Source organism: Homo sapiens, chromosome 4 (assembly GCF_000001405.40).
Source record: "Homo sapiens chromosome 4, GRCh38.p14 Primary Assembly".
NCBI lineage: Eukaryota > Metazoa > Chordata > Mammalia > Primates > Hominidae > Homo > Homo sapiens.
This window is the reverse complement of record NC_000004.12, coordinates 182067018-182087224: the sequence shown is the minus strand read 5'-3', so window position 1 is coordinate 182087224 and position 20207 is coordinate 182067018. Positions and strand designations below refer to the sequence as shown.

Here is a 20207-nt window from a genome sequence, read left to right as displayed (position 1 = left end):
AAGTGTTTACTTGCATCCTTTGAATTCAATCCTGGGAGTCATTTTCCTGTAGCCCGGGAGCTCCGACAAGCCTACAGACAGGGGGAAACTCAGAATGTGTTTGTGTGATCAGCTAAGGGGGTTTGTGCCCAGATCTGTGTCTGGTGAGCAATTCTGTTCTGAATATGTGAAACACAATGATCGAAACAATGTCATTATATGTCTTCCTTGGGCCAAACATGCTTTGGTAAGAACTCAAAATATTCACATACAATGTTAGAATAATCTCAGAGATAAAAAAAATCAAGGTCTAGAGGTAATAAGACTTGTTCAAAAAATACTCAGTGAGCGATTGGCAAAGTTGGTACTTTCCAAGGCCTCCTGCCTGTCGGTGTAGTATTCTTCATATTCAAAAGATGTCTTTTACGTTCCCCAGAGCCATCATCTGTGATTTAGAGACCCATTTTATTTCTAAGTGTTGCTCAAACCAAAAAGAAAACAAAAGATTAAGTAGGTTTTTGCAACTATTACCTAATTCCACCGCAGCCTACCACTGCATCTGGCTTTTCATCTGCTCTTCAATATTTCTTACTCAAAAGCAAACTCAAAGATAGTTGATGCCAGAAATAAAGCAAAAAATCAAGAAAAAAACACCTTCCTACAAAAAGCCCATAAAATGAATTTGAAAGAAAACAAATGGATGTATTTCAGCTCTCTCTCCATTTCTCTTCTTCTATCGTAGCTTCCTCTCCCATTTTCTCATCTAATATTAAAGTGTCTGCACATGAGAGCAGATACACGTGGCAAGAAAAGACACAGAAGGTGGCAAATGTTTCCTTTTCTTTCTTTTTCTTTTTATTATGAAGAGCTTTTCAGAATTTGCAGATGTTAGTACTCGGGTGTGGTGTCTTAGCTGTATTCCTGCACTGTATAGAGGTTTTGAGGGTGACTTCTTAATTTGTGCAGTGTCTGAGATGCCGTGTCTGGGTGCAAGACAGACTGTGATTAGCGAGTGGTTTCTTCCGGAGGCCTGAGTCAGGGTCAGACTGGTAGCTGGGAGGTAAAAGACATTATACCGTGTTATCAATTCTTGCTCAAAGTCCTGTTTTAATAGTTTAATATTGACATCCAAATAGTCCCCCCAAAACCAACAAAACACTTCAAATGCCCTAACTTTTAGTGTCAGCCCTTTTCAAAGGAAGAGCAACTATTTACGGACTTCTTATGCCGTCAAAATTTACAAGCTATTATTTAAATCACAACTTATAACAATTCCTCAAAGTTAAAAGGAAGAGTTTCCTAATATGAGAGTTGGTGGATGATTTTCAAGATTCATACTTCTCTTTCTTTTTAGAGGACAAAAGAAAGCAAAGCATAAAAAGAGAAATGGTTTTTAATACTGAGTAGAAAAACGCAATATATATGTAGAAAATATATGCTCCATTTGAATTCATATTTACATGTTTTGTAAGCTCAGATAATATATGTTTTTCATTATTTTAGTAAAATTAAAGAATGGGCATTCAGCTATCTTTAAATTTTCATATTGCTCATGCTAGTTTAGGCACGCCAGATCACTTTGGCATAATAAATTCCTACATGAGCATTGCACAGATACCAAGACACTGTAATATTTTTCTTTTAAGTGTGAATTGAAGAAAAAATATTAATAGATAGGCACATTTTTATGTTAGCCATTATTAGAATTTACTAATGAGAAATCTGACATGCTATTTCCTATTGCTTTAATATGTTATATATTATAAAATGTTTTCCCACATTATAGGCGTTAATTGCATAATGTTAAAAAAAAATCGTGTGTAATTTCTTGTGATTTATGGGCCTGCCATTGGTGACTAGGTGTGGGAGAACTTTGGCTTTTGTGGACTGGTTCAGGGCAAGGATGTGTGAAAAGTTGAGGAAGCCCAATTAGAGAAAGGCACTGAGAAAAATTTTTAAAAATCTATCCTGCTGAGAAGCAGGCATTTTTTCTGGATGACAAATGTCTGGAGTTCTCAGTTTTACAAAAAAAGAGTGCTCACCCCTGGCCTCTTATCCTTTTGTCATGTAGGTAACCTAAGCTGTGGAAAAAAGAGACCATCTGGAAAGAATGCTGCGGTTTCACAGAGCCAACATTATTCTCTACCTCCCCTTCCTCTTCCTCTTTCTTTATGGATGGCAAACAGCGTTCAGATGACAGATTTTGGAAAATTGTCTTAGGAGACGCATTCTCAGGCAGTTCCAGTGTATTGGTATTTTGGATGTTTCTCTGCATTTTGTCATACGGTTCAGAAGGGTGATAGGCTTTCTGTGAACTGCTGGGCTTCAAGAAGGCTATTATCTTCCACTCAGGTTTAATGGAGGAATTTATGGGATTTTGCCACCTTGTGAGGTAAGTTAGATATAAATGCCTTGTGATTTATACATGAAAGATTTTTCATTATGTATCCACATAAATCTTATTAATCCACTACATTTCTAAGATGTCATGGTCAACTGAAGAAATTCGTCACCAGTTTTCCTTGTAAATAAAAATTAAGTACATTCTTCATTTTTTAATGATAGTCAGCATCTACTTATACTCTATCATGATATCACTTCATCTGTGTTGTCATCTTAAATAGCATCCTTTTAATTGTTTCAGGTCAACAAGTAAGGTTCAATAAAGAGAAATATATAAATTTTGTAGCTTATATTCTAAAAGAGGTGCAATATTTTAGCCAATTAGTGGGAGTGAAAAACCAACTTGAGAAATAAATCTGTAAGTGAATGCTACTGGTTCTCAAAGGCATCTTCTTGACAAGAATCAAATGAACACTATCTCTAAAAATCCAATCTGAAGGCAAAACAGATTTGTTAGTGTGATTATTAAAATAATTGCCACCTTCTGGTGTAAAGTGATGTCAACAGTGAACAATCAAGTAATGCCCTTTGCTTTGGTACAGTCAAGCACTCAAAGCTACCGTGAAATAGGATTGGACGGGACCTTTCATTTCATATGAGAATTAATTCTCTAAATGCAGTGGAGAGGAGGCAGCTTATTTTTTCCCCCCAGCAAGCAGCTAGAAACGAGTCTGCGGGAGGCCATATTTTTTCTTACTCATTTCTTAGTGTGTGCGTGTATGTTACCAAGTATCACGGCAAATAATTTATTTTTTTCAATATAGTTCCATCAGAAGAGAAAAAAAATGGCAGAATTTTCCCAAAGGTCTTATGGCTTTAGAAAATTACACTTTGACATCTAAATTGTTTTCTAAGGACTGAATTAAAGGTCACTTTTTTTTTTCAACTGCAGTGAAAGCTTCACAGCTGCTTTGGGGTTCTCTGTAAGAGAGCACAGCTCCATTCTGGATTTCCTACAGATCTCCCCAGGGAGAGTCCATACATGTGTAATTTGTGGCAAACCTCAGTTATGGAGACCAACTCTTCTCAAAAAGCTTAAGTCAATAGCCATAAAGAGACGAGTGCCACGTATATGCAGTTACTGAATACCCTGCCCTGTATATTAAAAAGTATTTTGAAAGAAACAATTCTATAGCTTAAGACCTCAGGTTTAAGAACTTACTGACTTTAAATGTATTCAGAACAAAGAAATAAATATTAAGTATGTGATTTGACATGTAAATTTCTGTCGTTTGCATCTCATAACATTATCTTTTGTGTCAAATCTGTTAACAATGCCTTTAACGTCTAAAATGCGGCACATTTACCACTTCTTGCACTTCTACAGTTGAAAAAGCAAATGCAAGACTGAAAAAAAATAAAAAATTAGGTGATCAATAACACATTTCTTCTCCATCAGATTATTTTTTCCATGTACAGAGTTCCTGTTTGATTTTTCAATTATTCAAAATGTCAGAATGATAGATATAAGAGAGTAACCAGCTAACCAGGGAAATGTCTGCCTAATAATATTCAATATAAAGATTCCGAATGATGCTTTATGATGGATTAAACTTTCCCCTGTTCTGCCTCATTAGGGTTCTCCCAATTTGACCCAATCCAAACCTATTACTTAATACATATCTAACAGTAAAATTGCATAAATGTTCACTAGTACAATAGAAGTTAAATGAGCAGTTTCAGATAATTTAATTAAGTTGTAGGTCTTCTAATATAATTCCTTAAGTATGTGAACTTTTAACTTGTGTTAACTCAATTTCCTTATGCTTTCATTTACCATTTGTTGGGGACATTACAGTGATTAGCCAAAGTCCTTCCAGCTACTAATGTTCCCCATAAATTTTGATTTAAATTGACTGTCACTTTCTCACTATAATAAAGTAGATATTTGACATCTCAAAAAAAGAGAACTGGTCTAGTATATTATGTTGCCAAGGAGTGGCACGTTTTTCTCTATCACACAGAATCCACATAAAATACCCCTTAATAAAGGCCGTTCAGAGTAGGCAGAACGAAGTGGATTGCGTACTACATATTCATAGACATGCACACTTTAGCATTTCTTGAAACACTAGGCTCGTAGATACCTTTGGTATTGAAAACACACGTGGCATCATGTTCCCATCTTATTGTTTTGTATTTGGTGGTTATCACTGTCAGCATTTAGGAACTGTCTGTATTACAATAGGAAGGTAGCAGCTCTTCTGTTTCAGCTGAGGTCAAAAGCAAGATTTGGCCAAGTGGGCTAAGCTCAGATACTTCTCCCATGCTTTCTCAGCTCAGATAACTAAAGGGGCAAATCATATAATTGTGCTTTGAAATTTTCAATTAATATATGTGTTTTTCAATATTGTATGTGTGTTGATAATTGCGAAAGCTGGGTGGTGAGTACATGAATGTACATTATTGCTATGGTCTGAATGTTTGTGTCCCTGAAAATTCATATGTAGAAATTCTGACTCCCAAGATGATGGTATTAAGAGGTGGGGCCTTTGGCGGGGGTGATTAGGTCATGAGGATGGAGTCATGAATGGAATTAGTACCCTTATAAAAGAGATCCTAGAGAGCTGCCTTGCTCTTTCTGCCATGTGAGGACATGGAGAGAAGGTGCCACCTACGAACAAGAAAGCAGGCCCTCACCAGAAGCTGAATCTGCTGGCACCTTGATCTTGGACTTCCCAGCCTCCACAACTATGAGAGATGAATTTCTGTTGTTTATAAGTCACCCAGTTTGTAGTATTTTGTTGTAGCAGCTTGAATGAACTAAGGCAATTACAATATTCCCTCTACTTTTGTATATGTTTAAATAACCCTAAGCAAGTAAAATTATGTTCCCCAAATATATATCTACCCCAAACTCTCTTTAGTTCCAATAAAATGACTCTGTCAATAGGGTTTTGGTATCATCAATTACCATCCTTGAAGTTATCTGGTCACTCCATACACAAAAGCCTCAGTTCAGTGCCCAGAGTAACCTAAAAGACACAGGAATAGTAACATTTTTTTTTTCGCCTAGGTTCAGTGCTAGAATTTCTGCGTTGGATGGATCAAGAATCTACGGGGAGCCAAGTCACTTAAAAGTATCAGGTATGCTGTAGGATAACTGCTTGCAAGGGACAGGAAATGTCAGCCCCTCTGGCTAATGGTTTTCTCTAACAGTTTCCCATAAAACCACTGCTTCTGCAGTGTGCTTGGCATTGGCCTTGACCAGAGACAGCCTTCTTCTTCTTCTTCTTCTTTTTTTTTTTTTTTTTTTTTTGAGGCAGAGCCTCACTCTGTCGCCCAGGCTGGAGTGCAGTGGCATGATCTCAGCTCACTGCAATCTCCGCCTCCCGGGTTTAAGCGATTCTTCTGCCTCAGCCTCCCGAGTAGCTGGGACTACAGGCACGTGCCACCACGCCCAGCTAATTTTTATAGTTTTAGTAGAGATGAGGTTTCACCATATTGGCCAGGCTGGTCTCGAACTCCTGACCTTGTGATCCACCCGCCTCGGCCTTCCAAAGTGCTGGGATTACAGGTGTGACAGGTGTGAGCCACCACACCTGGCCTGAGACATCCTTCTTTGAAGCACTTGGTGCCCACAAAATACAACACTCAATTCTGGAAACTTCTTGGCACCTATTCAAGAAGAGTATTACCTAAGTAATCATAAGATTAACTAATATTTTTCAGGAGCTTACTCTATGTTAAGCAATTTGTAAGCATTTTTTTCATCTATTCTTACAACTTTAGAATTAACAACCATTATGAATCTTGTTTTACAAATGGGACAGCTGAGGCACAGTGAAGTCTCCTAAATTACCAAAGGGGGCAAAGCAAGGCAGCGATACTTAGTCGTCTTTGTTTTTTTTTGAGACAGGGTGTTGCTCTGTCACCCAGGCTGGAGTGCAGTGGTGTCATCATGGCTCACTGAGGCCCTGACACCCGGGACTCAAGCAATCCTCCTGCTTCAACCTCCTGAGTAGCTGGGACAACAAGCGCATGTCGCTACGCCCAGCCAATTTTTAATTTTTTATAAAGGCGGGGTCTCCCTATGTTGCCTAGGCTTGTCGTGAACCCCTGGGCTCAGGTGATCCTCCTGCCTTTGCCTCCCACACTGCTGGGATTACGGGCGCGAGCCACCATGCTGGGCCTGCCCAACTTTGAATTGAATGTTCTGTCATTACACGAGAGCGGCCAGGTTATATCCCTGTTTCACTGGATGGATGATAATATAGTGTGGCTTCCATGCACGTTTATGAATGTTGGATAGTACATTTAGAAGTACATACATTTTTATAACACAAGTAGTACCTGTTACTGAACAATTTAAACAATATTGTTAATCTAAACATAGAAAATAAAAATTTTTACTAGTTTCACTACCTAGAGGTCACTACTTTTAAGATTTTACTTTACACTCAAGTCCTTTCTACACCTGTTTTAAAAATAGAAATTGAATTATACTGAGCACATTCTTTTATAATCTAGTATTTGATTTAATAATTTCTCATGAATATCTTCCAATGTCTTGAAACATATTTCTATAACATCTTTTTTAATGGCTGTGTAATTGAATATTTTGATTTTGAAAGAAGTCAAGGTACGATATTTTACAGCTCCAAGTCCCAACCTGAATTTCACATCTGGCCTCAGGTGGAACTATTTCCACATCCTTACTTGCAAAGAGTTTTGAAACGTGGGTTAGGCAGAGGTGATCGAGGATCAGCATATTGCAAGAACAGATGCACACACAAAGAGCTCACTATTCAAGCTCCTTTTCCTTCTTCAGTATCTCTGCATGGTTAAGACGAGTGGATTGTTTTACATCTAACAATTCTGTAACTGGGTACTCCTAAGTAAAGGGGTACAATAATTGGCTAACAGTGAAGTTGCGTGAAGCTGTGGGAGGAAGGGGCAAAGGATTCTTGACATGTAGTCGAGAGCTTTGGCCACTCAGTTTCTTTTGCTTTCCTCGCTGACTCAGCCTGAGGGTAAAAGGTGAAGTGACATCTTTACTGAGACCTTCCCGGTCAGATGCAATCGGATTGACTGAAAGCTCTCAGAACGAAACGAAATTCTCCCACCTGGGCAGCACGTGCTGGCCAGAGAAATGACTGATGAGGAGTCAGCTCTGCACTACTGCTGGACAACAATTTCAACATCTCATTTAAAACTAAAGCAGTGAGTTAAGGTGGTTTCTGAATTATGTATTAAACTCAGCTTCCAGATATAGTCCTGGTTGCTTATTTCAGCTAAACATCTCTCTGAAACATCAATGTCCACAAATCACGGCTCTTGCTCTTATTTGTTGGTCTGGTTGTCACTTCCTATAACTCTTTACTCTTTTTTTTTTCTCTTGCTCTGTCACCCAGGCTGGAGTGCAGTGGCACAATCTCAGCTCACTGCAAGCTCTGCCTCCTGGGTTCACGCCATTCTCTGGCCTCAGCCTCCTGAGTAGCTGGGACTACAGGCACCCGCCACTGCGCCCGGCTAATTTTTTGTATTTTTAGTAGAGACAGGGTTTCACCGTGTTAGCCAGGATGGTCTCGATCTCCTGACCTCATGATCTGCCCGCCTCGGCCTCCCAAAGTGCTAGGATTACAGGCATGAGCCACCACACCCAGCCAACTCTTTACTCTTGACTCTGGTATTCTAGCACCTAATATTGAATTTTCAATATCAAGCTACCCTCCACCATGAAAACCTCTGCTTCCCTAAAAGTACACAAAGTCCACCAGCAATTTTGACAAAAGCACAAATTATTACTCATTGTCCATTGGGGAGTACTTTGCTCTATCAACCTCTTTCCCATGTCAAAGCCTCAGTTACACTCTTACTAATTATCACTAATGGAAATTGTGGTGTTAGCTGCAATCTTCAGATTCATTAAGACCAGCTCTCAAAATACTCCCAGGCTTAGTGGCTGGTGCCAAGAGTAGGTCTGGGCACCTGAATATGTAAACTCTCTCTTCCTTCCAACATGACCTTCCCATTCTACTTCACCCCATGCTTTCTTCCATTCATTTCCACCACTAATAATATCACCCAAGTCCTGTTAAAATTGCTTCTGAAATACCTCTAAATATTATTCCCCTCTCTCTCTCTATTTCCTCTGCTCCCCACCCCCAGCTCAGGCCACACTGCTCTATTACTTGGATGTCTGCAGTAGCATAGCAACTGGCCTCTTCACACTGACACAGTTCCTCCCCAAATCAGTTTTCCACAGCAGTGAGAAGGATTGTTTTAAAAAGTATCAATGTGGTCACGTTAAAATCTTTATGTGGCCTGAGTAGGATACTCGGATGTCCAGTTTTGTTTTTTTGTTTTTGTTTTGTTTTTGAGGCAGAGTCTCGCTCTGTTGTCCAGGATGGAGTGCAGTGGCATGATCTCAGCTCACTGCAATCTCCACCTCCCAGGTTCAAGCGATTCCCCTGCCTCAGCCTCCCAAGTAGCTGGGACTAAAGGTGCACACCACCACGCCCGGCTAATTTTTTGCATTTTAGTAGAGACAGGGTTTCACCATGTTGGCCAAGATGGTCTTGATCTCCTGACCTCATGATCCAGCCGCCTCAGCCTCCTAAAGTGCTGGGATTAAAGGTGTGAGCCACTGCACCCGGCTGTTTCGTTTATTTTTTGAGACAGGGTCTTGCTCTGTCACCTAGACTAGAGTGCAGTGCCACAATCACTGCTTACTGCAGCCTCAAACTCCTGGGCTCAAGTGATCCTCCCACCTCAGACTCCCAAGTAGCTGGGACTACAGGCATGGGCTGGTTTATTTATTTATGTATTTATTTTTGTTGTTAGTTGTGATGAGGTCTTGCTACCTTGCCCAGGCTCATATATCCAATATGCTGGAACGATACCAGTTTTTGCTTGTTGTAATGATTCATAATGCCTCATTTACTGTCAAGAGTGTTCTGCTTTAGAGAATAAATTATATGGTTACATTACCTATGAGGTCACACCTCAACAAGCCCCCATCCACAGTGGGACGGGCCACTGCAAGGATGGTGCCACGCCCCCTCCCACCCAGGATCCTTGTACATGCAGTTCCTTCTTTCAGAAATGTTATTCAACCCCTTTTTCCTTTCAATCTAATTTTTACTTACTCTTCAGCTCCCATTAGAAAACAAGCTCCACCAAGGCAGGAACCTCTGTCTGCTTAGATTGCCACTATATTCCAAGTGCTTAGAATAATGCCTGGCAAATAATATGTACTGAATTGGTTGAATAAATGGATCTTGATTCAAGCATTACTTCCTCAGGGAAGTCCTTCCTGCCCTTCCTTCCTCTACCTGCCCCAGTATTTGTTTGCTTTCTTTGTGCAATGTTGTTTAAAAATTATGTACTTTCTTTCAGAAAGTACATCTCAATTTATGATGATACAATCATTAGTTCACTAGACTTTGACTTCAGCTGAAGCAGGGGCCATTTCCATTTTGCTTATTTTTATGTTTGTGCTACATATCATCCCACAAACAGTGTTACATGAATAAATGAATGAATATTGTGACAAAAGCACTATATAAAGCATTTTAGCAATCCCAAGAAAAATTAGATATGGCTTATTCTCTAGAAGCTTATAATTTATTTGAAGTGGAGAAAACCCAAAAATATACAAGTCGGTGGCAGTACAAGACAATGAACTGACCCATAGGATTTTAGAACAAAAGACTCTGGAAATGATATAGATCAACCCTAATTCATCACAGCAGCATGAAGTGAATATCACACAATGATGGCAAGAGTCATATGAGGAGATACCTGGATACCAAGTACTTGAAGATGTTCGGAAGTTGGAAAATGCTGCTGTGTCCGTGACTGTCAAGGAAAGGTTATGGAAGAAATCAAGTTGAATTGAGTTTTGAGGGATTTATCCTCTAATGAACATTTATTATCTATTATATAATAATAGCAAGAAGACTCTGTCCTTGTCCAAGCAGGGCAAGAGGTTGGCAAACTGTGCTTTCCAGGCCAGATGCGGTCACCTGTGTTTATAAAGCGCTGTATGGGAACATGGCCGTGCCTATGTGCTTACATCTCGTCTACGGCTGCTTTTCAGCAGATGAGTAGTTGCCACAGAGATCACAGGGCCCACAAAGCCAAAAGTCTTTCTTGTTTGGCCCTTTACCAAAAAGGTTTGCCAATCCCTGAGTTAAACTCTCAGGGTTGTGTGGAGGAAACAGCCATACAGCCCCCAAAATTAAGAGATACGTGTTTAGAAGAGACATGTCAGAAGCTTCATAGAAGAGTGGTAGAAGAGAACATGCAGCACAACGAGCCCAGAAGAAAGGATATGTGAGTGATGTCTTGAAGGATCAGGTGGTCACTGGAATTTGATTATAAAGAAGGAGAAAGAGGCTGGGAGTGGCGGCTCACGCCTGTAATCCCAGCGCTTTGGGAGGCCGAGGCAGGTGGATCACGAGGTCAAGTGATCGAGACCGTCCTGGCCAACATGGTGAAACCCCGTCTCTACTAAAAATACAAAAATAAGCTGGGCGTGGTGGTGGGCACCTGTAATCCCAGCTACTGGGAGGCTGAGGCAAGAGAATCGCTTGAACCCAGGAGGCGGAGGTTGCAGTGAGCCAAGATCATGCCAACCTGGCAACAGAGCAAGACTCTGTCTCAAAAAAAAAAAAAAAAAAAAGAAGAAGAAGAAGGAGAAAGAGGCTGGGCATGGTGGCTCATGCCTATAATCCCAGCACTTTGATTGTGTGAGGCCACGAGTTCGAGACCAGCCTGGGCAACATAGTGAGACCTCATCTCTATAAAAAAATAAAAAAATTAGGCATTGTGTCACACATCTGTATTCCCAGCTACTTAGGAAGCTGAGGTGGGAGGATTGCTTGAGCCCAGGAGTTCACAGCTACAGTGAGCTATGATCACACCACTGTGCTCCAGCCTGGGCAACAGAATAAGTCACTACCTCTTAAAAAGAAAAGGATAGAAGATATATGAAGAACTAAGGTGAGACTGCAGGAATGTACAGATTTTATTTGAGGGGAAAATGCATAAAATTTCCAGTCTGGGCCACAGGTTCCCGTTGGGAAGCACACGATGAAACTTTGTAGAGTGAGACGGCAGGCACTATGCAGAGCCTTGAGTGCAGGGCTGAAACATTTGAAATTCACCAAGAAGGCCATGGGGAGATGTTGATGGCTCTTGTCCAGAGCAATGACAGAAGAAAAGGAACGCATGTTTTGATTCTGAGTCTGATGATATGGATTGGGAGAAAATCCGGGGAACCACAGAGGCCATCTCTTGAAGAAGACAGAAGAAGTTGGAGAGTTGAGAGCAAATTAGCCTACAGACAGGTCTTGCTTTGTCCACAAGGTGTTTGAAGATTATTAAAAACCAACTGTCGGCTGAGCGTGGTGGCTCATACCTGTAATCCCAGCACTTTGGGAGGCCAAGGCGGGTGGATCACTAGGTCAGGAGATCGAGACCATCCTGGCCAACATGGTGAAACCCCGTCTCTACTGAAAATACAAAAAATTAGCAGGGTGTGGTGACATGTGCCTGTAGTCCCAGCTACTCAGGAGGCTGAGGCAGGAGAATCACTTGAACCCAGGAGGCAGAGGTTGCAGTGAGCGGAGACTGCATCACTGCACTCCAGCCTGGGCGGCAGAGCGAGACTCCATCTCAAAAAAAAAAAAAAAAGAAAAAAAACAAGTGTCCACTGTTTTACATACAAATCTAGATTTCTGCCACTCTGCCACGTCTGAGAAAAATCACAGTCTCTGGCAGTACTGGGCCTGCTTCTTGCATGGTAACAATGGGTTGGAGCTGAGCCATGCGGTGTGGAGTTGGCCCCATCAGGCGCCACTCTGGCCATCTGTAACCGTGTAACATAACCCCCGTGGACACTGGAATTTGCAGCCTCTTATGCCATAATCTGGACATAAAATTTGAAACAGTCCTTAATTGGATGGGAGCCAACACATTCACCTTTCTTGTCCTGCCCTGATCTCTTAGCCACTGACTATTCTTTTTGAAGTTTTCTGAAGATCCACCTCCTTCATTTTTAAGCACCACGTTTGTTTTTGTGTTGTAGACTCTTAATTGGAGTGTGATAGATCTTGTGAACATCTGCCTGAGGACATGACCTCTGATTTAATTCTATTGTGACATCTTTCTCTCTTTCCTCCCTCATTAATTTCTCGCAGACCACATCTTACCTGCAAACCAAACATTCTGACCCCACTGCTGCCCCACACCGCCTCATTTCTTAATCTTGTAGTTTCCATCTTTCTTTCTTGCTTAAGCAACAATAGCTTTTGTTTGTGCTTTTCAGCGGAGTTTGAGTTTTAATTCTCCTTCAAACAAAAACTCTTTCTCCCAAGAAAGTTTTAGAGGGTAGCTTGTGTTACATTCTCAAGAGAAGACTTTAAATTCCTTCCACAAGTCTTTCTCCCTTTGCCTGGCTGTTAAAAATAGGTTTCAATGCGTTTTGACTCTTGGTGATGTGTGAGTCAAAGGCAGGTAGATGCTATAAAATGACAGTTCATCTATTGCCACTCCTGCTGGGCTAGGGTGCCTCCCACTACCCTGCCTGGGACACTGCTTCCTGCTGATGCACCCACAGCTCCATAAACAGGCAGCAGAGCCCACAGTGGATTCTGCTGAGCAAGTGGTACAGACACACGTCTGTTTATAAAGCCTGGATGTGATCTGGTTACATGTGTTTTATGTTTCGAGGAAAATGATTTGGCCCTTGTAAAGCAGTTTAGCCATAATTCTGTGTCAAAAGCAGCCTATAACAGAGCTGGGACCCTGCCAGATGACTTAATAACTAATTTATATTATTGGTTAAAATGCATATTATAACATTTCTGAGCTATTGAGTATCGAAAATTCAGAGGAAAATCTTATCCTATTTGGAAAAGGCCAGCCACAAACTTAACTTCTTCCTGCCTTGTCTGCAAAGTGAAGGGGTTAAAGTAGATGATCTTGAGGTGCTTTTGTGCCAATTCTGTGAACAAAGAGAGGGATGGTGGAGCTGCATTGTCCATAGGGAATTTGGGTTTTCATGATGCCTGAGCCAAATTTCCTGGACCAAGAAGTTGCTGAAAGGCCCAATTTCTCCCTGGGGTAAGGACTGAGATGGGGCAAGACTGAGTAGTTACACAGAGAACCTGTGTGATGAAGTGGAAAAAAGTGTGGATTTTGACTTCGGACAGACTAAGGTCCCTATTTTTTGAGCTCTTCAACCTCATGGTGATTTAACTCAGTCCTCTGCCTTTTGGTTTCCTCTCTTGCTACATGAGGCCAACACCTTTTGTATTCGTTTGCTTGGGCTGCCATAACAAAACACCACAGACTGGATGGCGTAAACAACAGAAATGTATTTTCTCACAGTTCTGAAGGCTGGAAGTCCAAACTCAAGGTGTTGGCAGGGTTAGTTTCTGGTCAGGGCTCTTTCCCCAGCTTGCAGATGGCCACCTGTTCTCTGTGTCCTCACATAGTGATATGGTTTGGCTGTGTCCCCACCCAAATTTCATCTTGAATTGTAATCCCCATAATCCCCACATGTTGTGGGAGGGACCCAGTGGGAAGTGATGGATCACGGGGCTGGTTTCCCCCATGCTGTTCTCATGATAGTGAGTGAGTTCTCACAAGATCTGATGGTTTAAGCACCTGGCATTTCCCCTGCTTGCTTGCACTCACTCTCTCCTGCTGCCTTGTGAAGAGGGTGCCTGCTTCTGCTTCGCCTCCTGCCATGATTGTAAGTTTCCAGAGGCCTCTCCAGCCATGCAGAACTGTGAATCAGTCAAACCCCTTTTCTTTATATAAATTACCCAGTCTCAAGTATTTCTTTATAGCAGTGTGAGAACAGATTAATACACATGGCCTGACCTTTGGGCCTCTGGTGTCTCTTCTTTTACCTACAAGAACACCAGTCCTATTGGATTAGGGCTTCACCCTTATAATCTCATTTCACCTTAATTACATTCCTAAAGGCCCTATTTCCAAATACTGTCATGTTGGGGGTTAGGGCTTCAAAATGCAAATTTTGGGGAGCACAACTCAGTCCACGGCACCTATCTTAGAGGATTGGCATGAAGATGAGATGGAGGAAAATGAGATGACACACAAAAAGTCTTTCATCAAGTTCCCAGGCCATTGCAAAGCCCTACCCAGAGCCACAAATACAACCCAAAGAATGTGTCACCTTAAGAAGCTGTTCAGGCCTCATGATACGTTTGATGAGAAAAAGATTAAGCAGCAGTTGATAACTTTGAGGTTTACTATGCAAGATATCTGATTATGCCTAGAGTGGAAGTATATATTTCTTTAAATATTGTTTCAAATACTTTATTATCAATAATTAGAAATTTATTTGGTTTCAAGAATTAGCTAAGGTTTTGAGGTAAAGCAAAATTGATTGGATAGAGAGCTGCTGTTCACTGCCTACCCTTTGGAGGCTGGAAGTCCAAGCTCAAGGTGTTGGCAGGGTTAGTTTTAGGTTAGACATTGCTTACTACTACAGTGTACCCTATGAGTCAGCACTGACTGCCGGTGTCCACCCTACTGAAAAGAGCAGCCAGATTATGAGTGCAGTGGAGACCTAATGCTTGATTTCATGAACAATGTCTATGCTATTGTTTCCTAGAAGAAATACTGGAGAGCTAGTATCTGTATGGGTGAGAGTGAAAAAATACTCCAGATAGTCCTTGATAGTTGAAAAGTATCCCACAAGGCAGTTAAGCAGTAAGGATTATCATCATGCAAGGAAAGGTAGAAAGACAAGACAACTGGGCAGCCAGAAATGGCTTCAAGCCATGTATGGGTGATCAGACAGTGATGGCATTATCTGTCATTTTTACTGAAACAAACCCCTAACAAATAAGAACATTTCTCCGCAATGTGTTGGCATAGGCTCAAAGGTTAGTGTTTTTTTTGTTTTGTTTTGTTTTGGTTTTGGTTTTTAGATCACTTTAAAGAATCTTTTGAATATGATGTTAGGTTTCTGTAGCCATAAAATCACATTTAAAAGGCCCTGAAGTACAGTAATTGGCCAAAAAAGAGAAGTGATTAAGAACCATCCCTGGTGTTCGACAGATCAGTAGGGTGACTATCGTTGACATTAATCTATTGTACATTTCAAAATAGCTAGGAGAGAACAATTCGAATGTTCATAGCATAAAGAAAAGATAAATATTTAAGGTGCTATATATCTCAATTACTCTCACTTGATTATATAAATGCATCAGATTATCACATGTACCCCCAAATATGTACAAAACTAATATGTGGTGTGGTGGCAGGCACCTGTAATCCCAGCTGCTTGGGAGGCTGAGGCAGGAGAATTGCTTGAACCCGGGAGATGGAGGTTGCAGCGAGCCGAGATCGCGCCACTGCACTCCAGCATGGGCGAATGAGCAAGATTCCATCTCAAAAAAAAAAAAAAGAAAAGAAAAAAGAAAAGAAATATCATGATTTAAGTCTAAATAATGGGAATGGGAAAGAAGAACTAAGCACACTTTGAATCTGCAAGAAAAATGTGTAATTAGGCAGGATCCTGGAGGTAGCTGAGCAGATATTGGAATAATTATAATTGTTCACATTTGGAGATGTCTCAAGCCATTCCTGAGATAATCCATAAACTCCAAGCTCTAGTGTGAGTTTACGAAGCAATGTGTCAGGCACTGGCTCAAATAAGAACTTATTTGGAAAATAAAACATCCATCTATATGAATATATCCATAGTCTTGAAATAGTATGCTCTTCCTGAATTTATTTTTGTGAAGTAAGTTTTTGTTCTTCTTGGGAAAAAGGGACCAACACTTTGCTTAATTCAAGCGTCAGTAGCTGGAGATGGCTTTGAAAGTGGGTCCTGAGGTTTCTGGGCTCATCCTCAAGAGGGAAGTTAGTGCATTGGCTGGAATGGAGGTAAAAGGAGTCCTGAAGTTCAAGTCCTTGGAAGAGGAAGAGAGCAATGTCAACAGAAGCAATGAATGGAAAATTGCTCTGAAGGAACCAGGAGTTAGACATAGAGGAAAGGTACCCCCAAATTGTAGCAAGTGAGGATGTTGTGGAATATCTGTACCTCTGTCTACAGCCTGAGTCATCTTTCAGACAGTACACTTCTCAATCATTGGAATTCAGAGAAATAAGTAATTGAAAATCTGCTACCTTTTATTAACCTGGCTTCTTAGATTTTTGTATGACTGACTCATCTGTCACTGCTTTACTCTCCCATTCTATGTTTTTCTTCTGTGTATATGTGTATTCTGCTTTTTTGACACAGAGTCTCACTCTGTCACCCAGGCTACAGTGCAGCGGCGCAATTTCAGCTCACTGCATCCTCCACCTCCCAGGTTCAAGCTATTTTCCTGCCTCACCCTCCCAAGTAGCTGGGATTATAGGCGTGTGCCGCTACACCCAACTAATTTTGTATTTTTAGTAAAGATGGGCTTTATTATGTTGGCCAGGGTGGTCTTGAACTCCCGACCTCGAGTGATCCACCCACCTTGGCCTCCCAAAGGGCTGGGATTACAGGTGTGAGCCACTGCACCCAGCCTATATGTGTATTCTTAAATCTTCAATTCAAAACCTTCTATTTGTAAGGCATTAGCTGAGGCTGCGGAACTATGCAAAAATAAGTAAGATGCTTTTTCTATGCATAAAGCACTTAGAATCAAGGTGGGGAGATGGACATGAGCATAACTAATGGTACATCGTCCCTACCCACAGCTATGGCCTTCCCCCACCTGTGCCTCCACTCAGAAATTCAGACACCTGGAATTTCTTGCAGACTCATAATATACTGGGGCTTGTCATGCCTCTGTATCTCCACACAGTCTGCAGCCTCTGCCTAGAAACATTCTTAACTTCCTTCTTCTCTTTACAAACTCTTATTTAATAATCACCTCAAGTATGACCTCTGGGAAGCTTTCCCTGACATCCCAGTTTGATGTCAATGATCCTAAATATCATGCTGTAGTATTATAATGCCTTGCATTACAACAGCCTGTTTAACTGGCTGTCCTTACCTTGAAGAAGAGGGGACAGAAACTCCTCCCTTCATCTGTAGCCTTAGTGTCTGGAATTTAGAGAGTTAGAAGCCCTGTCAAGATTTCTGAGCAGAGGGAGAGCTGTCATGACCTGATTCTCTGATCTCTTGTGTGTGCAAGAGTGTATTTGTGTGTGTGTGTGTGTGTGTGTGTGTGTTTATGCATCTATGTATGTATTTTCCTGAGGGATGTCCCAGGTTTGGTAATAAGAAGAAAGCACTGACATTTACTTGGTGTATAACACACCTGCAGAATTTTGAAAATAAAGGGTTTGAACACAAGACTAAATCTGACAAAGGGGCAAATAAATAAAAATGGGGTGCATATTCTAGTTGAGGGGCCCAACAAGGAAGCATCAGTGATATATGGTAGAAGGGGGCTAGAAGGAATTTCTGGAAATTTGGTTCTGATCAAGTCCTTCCTGCTCATCTCTTCTAATTACAGTGAGCAAAATGAGGCCCAAGGAAGAGGGTACTGAAAATGTTGAATTTATTTCATGATGTTATGATACAAAACAATGTAATATAACATCAAAATACTGTACCATGGAATGCTGATATTTTAATGCCAGAAAGGAAATAGGAATATTCAGCTCTCCATGAAACAAATTATGCTTTGGCTGCCTTGTTTATTATTCTCTTTTTTCAGAGTTACCTCTGCAAATTCTTTAAATTCAGTTTTTACTTTGCTTATTACTGGGTCTATTACTGGCATGGAACTAGTTAGTTTTATCACTTTCAATTTCACTCATGAAGGTTTTTTTCTTTTTCTTGCACTGAATCACAAGCTGAGATTTTCTAATATTGTGTTTTATTTCATTTTGTTATGCTTTTTTCTATCATATTCTTCTAATTTTTAAAATCTATTTTCCATGTGGAAGCTTCTCTAAAATCTAACACCTATTAATTTGTATTGATTTACCTTTATTTTAGGATATTTAGAATGCTCATTTTTAATGTTTGTACTCATAGATAATGATTATCATTAAGTTTTAATCTTGATCATTAATGCGTTTATTCATTTTTCACTACCAAAATTCTTCATGTTTAGAGATTACTCAAATATTTTGTAGGGTTCATTAATATGCATCACCAGAAATATGTTTTTATTTACAACATTCTTATGTACATGTGTGGGTAAGACCTATTACCAAAATATTTTAGGGAAATTACAATAAAAAGGAAAGGTTCATCTTCTTATTTAAAAGTTAATTAAATATTCTTTTATGATATAATTCTGGAAGCTGTTTTCATCAAGCAGGAAAAATAATACATTTCTTGCTTTTTTTTCATATTTCATTTGCATTAAGACAGTTTAATTGCTATAATGAAAACCTTTCCTCATTTCTCATCTTAGGAACCAAAAGATGTTTATTGCTTAGTAGTAGCAATGTAGGGTTTTGGTTTTTTTTTAATGTGATTCATACTGAAACTCCACATGGAGGTAGCATTTGTTTTTTTAACTTTAAAAAATAAAGATTCTGTATCCTCATTATTTGCAAGAATGGGAAGCTTCTTACAAACTTCCCACTGCCATCCTCAAACCCATAATTTTGCAACCATTGTATAAATGGGAAGCGCAAATATGGATGTCTTTGCCCTGCTCACTCTCCTGGCTCCAAATCCATTAAAAAGGTGCCTTATTCTATCCGCAAAGGGTTTGGTGGAACAAACATAGGCTTTGGGGTTAGACAGAGGTAACATTCAAATCATCACTCTGCCACCCATCAACTACAGAACTATCGGAACTCTCTGAGTCTCAACATCTGTCTAAATTGGGGCTAACATCACTGCCAGTTTTAAGGAATTGTCTCATGAATGGTATACCCAGCATGGTGCCTTATGTAGAAGGCATTCCAGAAATCGCTAGTTCTCTTTCCTGGCAGCCACAATCCACTAATGCAATGCAAACAATTACAGCTAAAATCACGATAATGTGACTGCACTGGAAAAAAAAAATGACCCTGAAAAAGCCTCGATAGAGAAATCAGACTGCCAGTTAATGGTAACACAAACTTTTTCAACATAATTAAAACATGTTTTAAAGTAAGTAGATTGAAATCATCCTATACTGCAGAGACCAAGAATGGTTAATCCCTGAGCAGAGCAAGGGAGTCCCTCCACATATGAAGGGCCTTGGAGAAATCACCAATATTCCAGCAAGAGAGAGTCAGCTCCATCTCAGGAGGCAGAAACTAGGTTTCTTCAGGTAACTTAGAGCTCTTAAAAGCCCACTTGGGGTTTCCTCTATCCTTTGCAGCTCCTAGGATTTAAAATCGACAGGAAGATTATTTTTTAATTATTACTTTGGGTTGTGTCTCCCAAAGCCTCGGTCAGGCACATTGTGAGTTGATGATAATGCCATATTACCTTTTTATTTTGGCCTCAAACTCACACTAAATACACGCAGTAATGTCTTTGTAGCCTTCAGTCAGGTGCACTGAACCCCGAATGATGGGGTTTGGGGAGAAACTCGTTTACGGCCATGAATAAGCTGCTGAAGTTTCATGCAGCGGAACACTATCAGGTCCTTTCATGAACACTCCGTTCGTCTGAGATGTGTCCCTGCCATAGATGTCATATCTAGTTTCTGCAGTTGTATTTCAGCATCACTCAACAATGAAGAGATAAGGTAATAGCTCTAAAAGTTCCTGAAAGGAGGGAATGCTGCCGGCCTCTCATCCCTGAAGTCTTACTCTCCTTCTGTTCAGATCCTAAGGGCAGCAAATGTAAAGGAAGGATGGCAGATAGAGGGGGAAAGACAGAAAGGACCCTCGGACTGGCTGGAGATAAGGAGGCTCCCAGAACAGAGGTATCCACAGTAGGT

The 20207-nt window shown here is 40.5% G+C and overlaps 1 protein-coding gene across 7 annotated transcripts in view, besides 2 other annotated features; it reads right to left on the bottom strand.

Moving 5' to 3' along the window:
• The window catches only part of TENM3 (teneurin transmembrane protein 3), a 1355412-nt gene that overhangs the window by 715800 nt on the left and 619405 nt on the right, over positions 1 to 20207 (bottom strand). The gene's annotated exons all lie outside the window — the stretch shown is intronic.
• Positions 1592 to 2113: an enhancer, noted in NCBI's record as "OCT4-NANOG-H3K27ac hESC enhancer chr4:183006265-183006786 (GRCh37/hg19 assembly coordinates)". NCBI's record gives its function as "activates a minimal SCP1, AML or CMV promoter by ChIP-STARR-seq in naive H9 embryonic stem cells {active_cell/tissue: H9 hESC(naive)}" and the evidence as "EXISTENCE:reporter gene assay evidence [ECO:0000049][PMID:30033119]".
• Positions 2114 to 2637: an enhancer, noted in NCBI's record as "OCT4-NANOG-H3K27ac hESC enhancer chr4:183005741-183006264 (GRCh37/hg19 assembly coordinates)". NCBI's record gives its function as "activates a minimal SCP1, AML or CMV promoter by ChIP-STARR-seq in naive H9 embryonic stem cells {active_cell/tissue: H9 hESC(naive)}" and the evidence as "EXISTENCE:reporter gene assay evidence [ECO:0000049][PMID:30033119]".